This window comes from Homo sapiens, chromosome 13 (genome assembly GCF_000001405.40).
Source record: "Homo sapiens chromosome 13, GRCh38.p14 Primary Assembly".
Lineage (NCBI taxonomy): Eukaryota > Metazoa > Chordata > Mammalia > Primates > Hominidae > Homo > Homo sapiens.
Window position 1 is genome coordinate 88,141,607 of NC_000013.11, and position 12,158 is coordinate 88,153,764.

Here is a 12,158-nt window from a genome sequence, read left to right on the forward strand (position 1 = left end):
AACGTCTTTGCTTTTGAAAAAAATAGCTATTGTTTTCAAGTAAAAAAAAAAAAGTCTGCTTAAAAAGTGAATGTTAACTATCCTAGAATTATATAGTGCTTAAGAGCATGTGTATGAGCTACAGATCTTGCTGTAACAATGTCTAAGCTTCTTGTTGGGCCACTTTGCTAAAGCTTTGTATCTGATGGGATCCAATTTGTCTGTACGCTTTATTTCTTACTTATATGTCTGACCCCTTTTATTGATTGTTCATATCCAAATGGAGAAAACTATAATTTCAGTTTCTGCAATCCTAAAACCATTAACTTATACCCAAAACTAATCTTAAACATAGTGTTGAACGTTTGTATTTGTTGAAGAAACAATTCTACAATGGTGAAGTCTCCAGTGTTATCACAGCTAAATATAAGACTCTGATTCCTTGGACATGATATTCAAAAAATACTTTACCAGGTAGAAATGCACCAGCATTAGGATGTAGATAGTTAGAGATTTTAAAGGGTGAGTTTTCCTGATCATATGCAAGTGTGATTTGAAGACAAGCTGAAGTTTACATTCTGATTGCTAGATTTATCTAAAATGTAAAATGAATTCTTTGTTCTCTTGAATCCTGCTAAGAAATAACACATAACCTTATCGGGCCATGTTTTCTTGTACACATATTCAATTTGTTATGGAAACACCAGGGGTTTGGTCTAGGTCCTGCTGTTAGCTGCCTAGGAAGCCAGTCACTGACACAATGAGTATTGCCAAGAAAGAAGGCTGTAATCAGGTGCTGCAGTTGAGGAGATGGGATATCAGTCTCAAATCCATCTCCCTGAACAACTAAAATTAGGGGTTTATATAGCAGGGAAGAAATGTAACTATGTGTGGGAAAACAGGAGCTAGAAAGGGGTAAGGAAGCAATCGTGATGAATGATGTATCTGCCATCTCAATGTCTGCATGTGGTGATCTGGTGAGTTTCACTCCTTTGATACTGTGAGAGGCCTGAGGGTCATTTCATAAGGAAGGAGCTCAGATAAAACAAATGTAAGTTTTAAGCTGTAAGACCAGAAGGGTCAATTTCTATGTTTACTAAATAAATAAATAAATAAAAAATAAACAAAAAATACTGTCTTGGAACTGTTGAGGTTGTTTCAATTTCAACTCTTATTTGGTCTTAGATGCTTACAAGTAAGTAGCCTTCAGCCAACATGTGGGGAATCTGTGTTCATCTGGTAAAGTCAGTATTGAAACCAAAACCAAAACAAAAAACAAACAAAAACAGGTTACCTGAGTAGGTTTTGGCAGCCTGTGTATTTGTCACATCGAAGGCTCGTTATTTACTAAAGTATCTGTATGAACATGATCTAGTTTGCACTTGTGAGTGGTGTTGGTAGAGGGGACATATACGAAGATTTAATTGTTGGTAATTATAGTGAGAACAGAGGGGACTTGAAATTGCTGAACTGTCTCATGCCTGGAGGACTCTGGAAACATTGTGTGGCATGCAGGTATGTACTGTTCTGTACTATTATGTTCTTAAATTATTTGTAGTGTTATTCAGTCTGAAAAACTTCCTAATTTCCAAATATATGCAGCAGTTTAATATGGGAAAATTTATTCTGTACCTTTAAATTAGCTTTTTCCATGTCATTAAGACTTTATATTTGTTCTCATTTTTACCCCTTTCAGTTGTCTTAGTGATCTCAAATTAATAAGTGTCTCAGCCTTGTCTAAGGATTTCTATGATAACCTACTTGTAGCTTAGGTATTAACATTAAAGATGAGCTCTATAAATAATATCACTGGCCTGTTTCTATGAGTTTGAATCTTGCCTGTGTTTTTTTTTTTTTTTCCCCTGTCTTACTTCTTCTACTTGTGTACTATAGCAGGTATTTTAATATCAGTTTTTGGTATCCAACCTTATTTTAGGATGGTAACCATCCTAAAATAAATATTAAATATTTTTAAATAGCTTGGTTGAGAGTTCATACATCTCAGATTCATTTAATTTCTTCTAATATCTTCGACTCTGTTAAAGTCATTTTACTTAACCCAAGTCTCCAATGAGAAGTTAACATAAAAACTATATGGTGGCTGACTTCTAATGTTTAAGTATTATAAAAAGTTACTACGTATTTTCTAGGTAGGTGACAGAAGTGTTTTGGACTGAACGTTTTTGTCTCTGCACAATTTACGTATTGAAGACTGAACTCACAGTCTGGCTATATTTGGAGATGAGGCCATTAAAGAAGTAATTAAGTTAAACGGGATCATAAATGTGGAGCCCTGATCTGATAAGAATAGTGTCCTTATAAGAAGAGATATCAGATCATCCCCCCACTCTCAGTGGGTGAGCCAAAGAAAGGTGCTCTGTGGGAACATAGTGAGAAGGCAAATCTACAAGCCAGTAAGAGAACCCTCACCAGAAACCAAATTGGCTAAAATCTTAATCTTGGACTTCCCAGCCTCCAGAACTTTAAGAAAATAAAATTCCGTTGTTTTAGCCACTCATTATATGGTATTTTGTTATTGCATCCCAAGGAAGACCAATACGTGAGGGCAAGTTTGTTTATCTCACTGAGCCTTAAGTTTCTCCAAATAAGACTGTTAATAACTGTTTCACAGAAAAGTTCATTACATTAAATGAGAAAAGACCAAGTCTATCACATTGTATTACTCAAATGTTAGCTATTATTAAGAAAATAATAAATAATAAAATGAAGACTTGAGCATGCACTGAATGCATTTAAATCTCACTTATAACCTCCGGTATTGATATGGGAGTGCTGGGAGGGGAAGAGCGTTGTCCCTTTAAAAGATACAGAAGGGAGGAAGGGAAGTGCTGGGGAGAGGAGGGTGTGGTCCCTGGCTAGGGCTCTACCCCACAGATCTAGGTGAGAAGAGGCAGTTTGTTTTCCTACCCAAATGTTGCATTTCCCAAGACCACCTTGGCCTGCCATGCCGCCATTCTGTGCCTATAAAAACCCGAGACCCTAACAAGGCAGAGATAGAAACAGCTAGACATTGAGAGAAACACATCGGCAGGGGAACCCACAAGTGGCTAGACATTGAGAGGAATGCATTGACAGGTACCTGGATGCTGGCAGGCCATTGACTGGCAGAATGACCCGGAGTTTGGGTGGGGCAGTTGGAGGAGCGCTTGGCCGCTGAGCGGCCGGACTTCAGGGGAAAACCATCTCCCTCTGGCTCCCCCATCTGGATGAGAGCTACTTTTACTCAATAAAACCTACTCATTCTTCAAGCCACGTGTGATTTGATTATTCCAGTACACCAAGGCAAGAACTCAGGATACAGAAAGCCTTCTGTCCTCATGACAAGGTAGAGGGTCTAAGTGAGCTGCTTAACACAAGCCACCTACGGATGGCTAAACTAAAAGAGCAGCCTCTAACACATGCCCACTGGGGCTTCAGGAGCTGTAAACATTCACCCTTAGACACTGCCGTGGGGTCGCAGCCTCACAGCCTGCCTGTCTGTATGCTCCCCTTGAGGTTTGAGCAGCTGGGCACTGAAGAAGCCAGCCACGCCCACATCGCACACCCTGTGAGGGGAACAAGGGAACTTTTATCGTTTCAGTATTTTAAAAAATTAAGTTAGTTGCTAACTAACAGTTATTGTGGCTGAAGGTAGTACTATCCTGTTCCTGGGTTTTGGACACCAGGGATGACCTGGATTAGTTTTGAGATCTTATCAAACGCCACCCCTGGCTCTTTTCAGGAGAAACTAAATGCCGTATGAGTTGTAAACTTACTTTCAACTCGGTTTCTAGTTAAGTTCGCCATAATTCAGTTCTTAAAACTGATGCAGGGCATGAAAGCCCGAAGTGGGGCTTAGCTCACAAGATTTCTTGGCTTTGCCCAGGAAAGGATTCAAGGGCAAGCCAGAGGCAGAAAAAAACAGCCTTATTGAAGAGGCAGTGTTACAGCTCCAGTGGTGTTACAGGTCTGTGACTGCTCCTGCAGAGCAGGGCTACCCTGTAGGCAGAGATGCATAGCAGCTCAGGAGAGTTTTGCAGTCATATGTAATCTGCATGTAATTAAAAGTGGATATAAAGGGTGGTTAGGTAAAGGGTAGTAACTTTTGAGTCATTGGCTCATTGCCATGGAAAGGGGTGGTAACTCCCAGGGGTTGCCCTGGCAATGATAAATTGACATAGCACACTGGTGGCAGTGTCTGATTGACACTCATATTTCTGCCAATTCATCCTCAGTCTGGCCTGGTGTCCTAGCCCCACCTCTGGAGTCTAGTTCTGCCACCTACCTCATTCTCCCTCAGAGATTAGATTCTCCTTAATCTTAAGGGGCTGCAGAAAGGTGGAGGTCCATGGGCATACGTCCTGCCCAGCACCGGAGGAGTAAAAATCTCTGGATACCTGATCTAAGGGGCCCAGAGGCAGGATGGTTTTAATTCTTCAGGTCAGTAGATGTGATGGTTTGGAAGCTTCTTGCAAGCATTGTTTTTACCTGGAACTGTTTAATCTAGAAGACACAAATTTTACTAAGAAGTTAAACAAGAAAGAACCAAAACTTAGTAACAACAAGATGGCTGTCAAAAGATCTTAGGAGTGGTAAAAACCAGGTGAGACTTGGGAAGACACTTTTGATAGCTGACTGGCTATATTTGGGATCAGTGCCATGGTTATGACTATGTAACTAGGTAGCTTGGTCACAGATCTTTTGAATGCTAATCTCACCTTGTCCAGAGTTTTTAATATATGTGCAGCAGATTTTGTTAATAACTACACAGACTCCGCCATGTTCAGCTAGTAAATAAACCAGTGTAGTCTGTTATCGAGAACTACATTTGCCAGAATCTAAAGACTCTTGAGTTCCCTTTAATGCCTGACCTGTGTCAGTGGCTCAGGCTTCCAGGGTTTGAGTCAAGTTCCTTAGGGTTAACTCATGGTAGGCAAAGCTGCCTCAGGGTACTGCTAGTCCTATCACTGCCCAGGTTCCTGACAGAACTAATCCTATTGCTTGCTTACTTCCGGTATGTTTGTGTCTTATGGGATTATAGACAGTGACCTCTGGAGGGGCAAGGGTGGCCAACAAATATTCACTTCTGCTCCAAGTTTTTGATATACAAGGGAAAGCTACTACTAAGAGAACAGGTGATTCTCTATGGAGTTGGGAGCAGTTACAGGCTGTGACATCTTCCCATTTATTGCCACAAACAAAAATATGCCGAGTTGGGACACAAAAGCTCTATAGGTTGTGATGTTTATTCTTTACTGCCAAGTTGGGTCTATAGAGATGTTTTTCTCCCATTCTAATGGGGTGGTCAGACAATCTTCGTTTTCTAGAAGGTGTAGTACTCCCACCTTTCCAAACTAGGCAACTGTTTTTTTCTTGTGTTTTCTGGTCCGGAAGAAGGCACCGCACATGGTCTCCTTGCTGACAAGTGGAATCTCATTTACCTTGCTGCAGCCTTGGGAACTTGGCAACTGAAGTTGGATGAGAGCACTGAAGGGAAGCTTCCACTTTTGTGTCATTAATGCAATAGTGGGTTAAAAAGGTAGAATGATTAGTGCATTGGAGATAGAGATACCCAGCTTTCCACATCCAGGAAATAGTGGTGGTGTTGGCGGGGTGTTCAGGTGGAGTCCATTAAGTGGGGAAGAGTTCCATTTAACAAGTAGAAGTTTGGATATTTTGGGATTGCTATGGTTAGTTAGGAGGTCTGGGGGAATGGTCATATTTTCCAGATAAACCAGAAGATAAAATTCTGTATCCTGGGAATGTTGATGATAAAACCAACAAATAAGATGATTCCCTGATGCAATAATTGTTGAAATATTTACTATAGAGTTATGTCCCCACCCATACTGGATCATGGTAATTGGGAGAACGAACAAGATGAACAGTGACAACATGGTTTTAAGATGGGCCTTAGTGTGGCTTCTACACCCAACAAGGACAAAGGAGGTGTTTCCCTTGAGATTAGCTAAAGCTACAGAAAGGAAGTATTACACTCAGGAAGAAGAGAAAAACTAAAGTTCCTATTCCCACCCACAGTATCACGTTACCACTTCTGGCTGAATGTTGATGTTTTAAAAATAGGTAGCCAAGGTCTTCCAAAGGCTCACAGCTGTAGGTTTTGGTGCCCTCCTTTTGTGCCTGTGACTCCTAAGAAACAGGTTTAATCCTGGACAAATATACCCAACTAGTTATTCCCTGAAATTTAATAGCAGTGGGGGTACTCAACAAAACCTGAAAGGGACCCTTCCATTTCGGTTGTAATTGATCTTTAGGAGATCCTTCTTTCCAAGTTTTTAGCAAGACTAAGTCTCCTGATTGAATAGATGAGCTTTTTCTTCCTTTGCGGGGAATGCAGTATTTTATTTTTATATGGGAAAGCTTTCAGAACATTGCCTACATTCTAAAGGTGAGGGAAAAGGTTTGTAGAACTAGTTACTACAAGCCAATACCACAGCAGCTAAATCCAGAATCAATGGAGAAGTCAGTTTTAGAACCTCATTTCCTGACTCCTAGTTTTTGGCTCCCTCACTGCTCTAAATGGGTTCAAGAGGCAATGAGTGTCCACCCACTTCTACTCTTGTCCAGCCCAGAACATCCAACTGGCTACAATTCCCCTGACTCCAAGTCCCCCAGCCAGGGGTTGCAGGTATTACTGAGGGATACAAAGAACCTAGGGTAGGCAGCACGCTACTGTAGCACAGGCACAGGACAAAATAAAAGCTTGGCCATCAACACTACCTCTGGCACACTCTTATTAAAAGGGGGAATATAAAACAAAAACCATAGATCAAAAGGAATGGAGTTGGGCAGATACCCATTAGTCACCAGAACCCTTTTAAGCAATATAAAAGTCAAAAACCAAAAGCCAAAATAATGGCACACATCAAGGAAAACAATGAGCATAGAATTAAGCTATATTGGGAGAAAACAGTGGTCCCATAGACTAAGACAAAACAGTTTAGCATCAGGCTATAGCAGCAGTCATAATTAGAGGAGAAAAGCTCACAGGAGCTGACAGAAATGCTAAAGGAAAGAGTTCCATGAATCTGAGAAGCTCTTACATAGATTGTGTGATTGAAAGGCAACATTTCTAGTAATTTAGCAAATTAATACCTTAAGAAAATTTGTTTCTGATATATAGACCGATTTGTAGAATGTCAACCACAATTTTCTTTTATCATAGCAAATTTAATTATACACAAAATTTCTTTCATAAATCGCCCTTTATGAACTGTATCATAACTTACGCAGACGATCTACAACATTCTTGAACTTTGGACTTGTCCTATACTACCTCTTTCTTAACCAGCAATTTCACTCTAGGACAATAATTTACTACAGAAGATCCCTCCTCATATTAAATTATTCTTTCTTTATATACTTCCTTGCAAAACAATACATTTTCTATCCATTACAATCTTTATAACTCTTTTATCTACTTACTGGCTCTCTCACATTTTCAGCCTCCCTTTTAATAACTTCTGAATTAGAAAAAAAAAATTCCCATTAAAGAAAACAGTTCTTTGGCATATTTTATATAACCCCAAGTAAGACTTAGCTCTGAAGTGTCCATCAGACACTGGCATTCTATAGATGAGAACCGTTCTACCATTTTAATATTTAAGACCATTTTAAGAACCACACAGTAATTTCATTTTTTATGCATCTATTCCATTTACATGTATTTGACTTTTTCACTTTTAACAGTTTTATCTAGACCACCTCTAAGAACCAGTATACTATGCACAGCTAGTCACCATTTAAAGCCATTTGAAACATTTAAAGCCTATGAAAAATAGTTGATTTACCTACATAAAAATCTTAAGGTTAAATTTCAGAAGAAATAACATTCTCTTCAAACTAATAAGCTTTGACTAGTCTTATTTATGAATGCTCTTCTGTTTATAAGCCAATTTGATAGCATGCTGGATACGCCATATATCACAATACCTGTATATACACCTAAACGAGCACATTAAATAAAATGACCTATACAAGACAAATAGATTCAAATTATTTACATAATTAAGAACTGTTTACCTGGTCAAATTTTGTTTGCCACAATAAATATAGAAAACATGAAGAGGCAGGGAAGGGGATCCCAGGGCATCAAATAAACAAAGGAGGGGGCAAACTGCATTGCTCAAGGGGAGACCCAAGAGTTGCCAAGCGACAGAGAGCTCATCCAGCAATGGAGATATTGAAGAAAAATATTTGGGCAGCTGTTTGCCTGCCACTGTAGGAAGCTGTCTGCTGGGTCAACGGTCTAAGACTCTCAGTAAGCTTACTTGTTCAAGGCAGCTTGTTGGGGCTAGTGGAAGAAGGTTAGCTCTAGTACTGATGGGACACTATTTTTCCTCTCTCTCACCAGAGACAGTTAGGACATTCTCATTGTCAATGGCCATCTTGCTCACAGTAGGCACACTAATTTTGATCTGGGGGTCAGTGAGTTGGTGGCTCTTGTCTGGGCATCCCAGACACCACTTTCATGACATTTTCTTAAGATGGGTAACCTTCAGTGGGGAAGGTGCATAAAACAACTGTTATCAATTATACTTTTTGGCTATTTCTTTTGGTCTTTTTGTTTTTTTCTCTTTTGCCTTGTCCCTACTGTTGTGAACTTTAACTACTACATTTAAAAGTTGTCTCATAGGTGTATGAAGTCTCATGGTTGCTTTTGGGAGCTTCCTTCTAATGTCAGGGACAGATTGAATAATGTATACCCAGGTGAGCTTGCCCTTCTGCAGAGTCAGGGTCTGTGTTAGTGTATTTCCTTAATGCCTCAACCAAATGACCCTGAAAGAAAGGGGATTTTCATCTTTGCCCTGAGTTATTTCTCTAACCTCGTCATAACTGACTGGCTTAATCACACAGTTTTTCTCTTGCTTTTTTTTTCACAGCATATCAAACATAATATTTGTAAGTCATGACAAGTTAAACCAAAGAACATGATCAACTTAACAAACTCCTCAGAAAAGCTTTCTGGATTCTCTGAAAACTCCAAATTTTTTCTTTTGTAAAGCCAAATTAGACATGGAAAATGGCTCATAGACTCTAAGTGTTCTCTCACTTCCATTAGCTACCTCCCACAACGGAAACAGGTTTGACAGAGCTGATATGGGGCTCCAGTCCTGGTGGTACTGGTTGGGCTTACTTTCTTAGGCAGCGGGGTTATAGGCTAGGGATAGTTGGATAAGGGAGAGGTGTGCCTGATGACCGTGAGGTGGAATCCTGTATTAAAGAACTGTCAGGAAACCGTCAGAAATGGGGAACTAAGGAGACCCTGGGGAGGGTGTAGCTATTCTAGGGGGAACAACTAGGAATGGATCCACTGGGAATGGCTTTTTGGTGCCTGCAAGTATTGTAAGCCAGCAAAGGACCATAAAACCCTGCACATGAGGAACCTCTTCCCATTTCTCTTCTTTTAAACAAAATAAGTCTAATTGTAAAATATCATTATAACATGTAAAACTATGTTTAGGCAAAATCCGTTGGTTTGCCAATATGTATGCAACCAAGACATTATTGCAGTAGTGAATGAGTTTCTTCTTCTTTTAGCCAAATTTGAATTTGCTCCAATAGCCTAAAAAATACCTCACTGGTGAGTCCTCTGGGGTTCTCCCTGCTGTCCCCATGTTAGTAAGGATCCCTATGGAGGGTTTCAGTTAGACCAAGTTTAGCAAATGCCTACTTATTTTCCCTTTTACTTTCCCACTTTCTATAAATAGCAATATGTTACAAAAGCAGATTATTAGCTTCACATGGGCAGTTGGATGTTAAGCCTAAATTCCACAGAAAGCAGCGGGTTATGCAGAGGGAGGGGCTAAGCAAATGGTGACTCTGGAAGGGAGGATGGGAAGGGTAAATAGCATTGCCCAAGGGGAGACCTCAGAGGCCCTGACTTGCCAGGGAACTTGCCCAGTAGTGGAGACACTGAAAAAAACATATTCAGGTGACCACCTTTCTGCCACTGTAGGTGGCTGTCTGTCAGGCCAGGGGCCTGGAAACTCCCAATTTCTTTAACCAAGAGAGACTTGAGCAAGGCAGTTGTAAGACAGCACACAGGAAGAGGCTAACAACTGGCTATTAGGAAAATAATATTTCTAACTTTGGAGCAGAAAAGGCAAGATCAATATTCCCCTGGAGGAGAGGCTATAATCCACAATCCTAGAGGGAATGTCAATACCTAATCCACAGAGCATCTGGTGGGGTGGAGGTGACCAAAATACCCATGCTGAAAACTTGGAGTGCCCAAGCTTCAGCCAATGAGGATTCCCTCACCAAACACCGAAAACCCTGGGGCACCCAGGGAGCAGCCAACAGTGAACCTAACACCAAGTTGGAGTCACAGAACAATGTGACTCTGGCATTCCAGGGTCAACACAAAGGGGTCCTCACATAACCAAGTGTCCTGCCTTAATTGTCTACACACAATTAGCAGAAAGTTAAGAGAAAACATAAGACTGCACACATTTTGGGACTGAAAATAAAATGACTGATGGAACTAATATGGTTTAGCTCTGTCTCCCCACCCAAATCTCATCTCAAATTTTAATCCCTACGTATTGGAGGAGGAGGCTGGTAGGAGGTGATTGAATCATGAGGACAGATGTTCCCTTTGCTGTTCTCATGATACTGAGTGAGTTCTCACAAGATCTGGTTGTTTGAAAGTGTGTGGCCCTTCCCCCTTCACTCACCCTCTCTCCTGCTTCACCAAGGCAAGACATGCTTACTTCCCCTTTTCCTCCCACCAAGAGTGTAAGTTTCCTGAGGACTCCAAGTCATGCTTTTGGTTGTGCCTGCAGAACTGTAGTCAATTAAGCCTCTTTTTCTTAATAAATTACCCAGTCTTAAGTAGTTCTTTATAGCAGTGTAAGAAGGGACTAATACAGGGACAATACAATGGGGTCAGAAAAGGACCAGGAGAAGGGGTGATAAGAACATGATTTGGGAAATTCAAACAATCATGGATGCCTAACTAATCACCTAGCTGACGGCTTTTACTTTATTCCCTAGTTCTCCTGATACTATGGAGTGGGGGCAGAAGGGAGACTCACTCATTCAGCAGACACAAATGGCATTGACTGATCTTCCATGTGAAGATCTCTCCAAGGTACCTCAACTTGGGTGGCCTCAGCACCTCTGCCATGGTGGGAAGGGCCTGCACTGGACAGTAACCCATCCTGGTCAGAGAGGCAGGTGTCACATGAGGCAGATGGAACTATGGCCACCCCAGGTGTCAGATGGCACTATGGCCACCCTGACCAGCCACCCAGTGGGGCTCAGCTGTCTCAGTTAGAGGAATCTGCATGGATGGTAACCCACTGGACTGCTAGTCAGAGAGGCGAGTGTCACGTAAGACAGATGGCTCTATGGCTGCCCCACCAGTGGGCTCAGCTGCTGTGGTGGGAGAGACCTGTACAGGTCTGTAACCCACTGGGCTGCCTGTCAGAGAGGTGGGTGTCACAGGAGGCAGATGGTACTATGGCTACTTGCCTGTTTGATTTGTTCCACTGTTTGCCAGGGTAAATGATGGCTCTGAAGAGAGCCTTTGGGTAGTGTTAGAGCTCAGGTGATATAGCCCTGATTCTCTGTCTCTCCCCTCCTTGCCTTGCCAACTGCTGCCCTGCCAACCGCTATCCTGCTGACCACTACCCTTGCTGATCACTGACTGCCACTTCTCAAGACGGCCATCCTGCACATCACTGTCCTTACAGGCTGCCACTCCCAGATCACCAATCACTGTCTTCTGTCTTCACCCTGCATCGGGAGTCAAGCTGGTGCAGGGCAGGTGAGCCCCAAAGTGGAGCTTAGTCCGTGAGGGTTCTTGGCTTTACCCAGGGGAGAATTCAAAGGCAAGCCAAAGGTAGAAGAAAACAGCATTACTAAAGAGGCAGTGTTACAGCTCCAGGGGTGTTAACAGCTACGTGACTGTTCTGCAGAGCAGTACTACCCTGTAGGCAGAGTGTAGCAGCTTAGGGCCGTTTTGCGGTCATACTTACACTCACTTTTAATTGCATGCAGATTAAGTGGTGGTTTATCCAGAAATTTTTAGGGAAGGGGTAGTCACTTTTGAGTCATTGGATTATTGCCATGGAACGAGGTGGTAACTCCTGGGTATTGCCACGGCAGTGGTAAATTGACACGGCACACTGGTGGGTGTGTCTGAATGAAAG

The 12,158-nt window shown here is 41.6% G+C and overlaps 1 long non-coding RNA gene across 1 annotated transcript in view; it reads left to right on the forward strand.

Annotated features, from left to right (window-relative positions):
- Positions 1–1,260: 1,260 nt before the first annotated feature.
- The window catches only part of LINC00373 (long intergenic non-protein coding RNA 373), a 93,216-nt gene continuing 82,318 nt past the window's right edge, over positions 1,261–12,158 (forward strand). Inside the window, exon 1 of the long non-coding RNA NR_131919.1 lies at positions 1,261–1,494. This is a non-coding gene — a long non-coding RNA (long intergenic non-protein coding RNA 373). The remainder of the gene's footprint in view (positions 1,495–12,158) is intronic.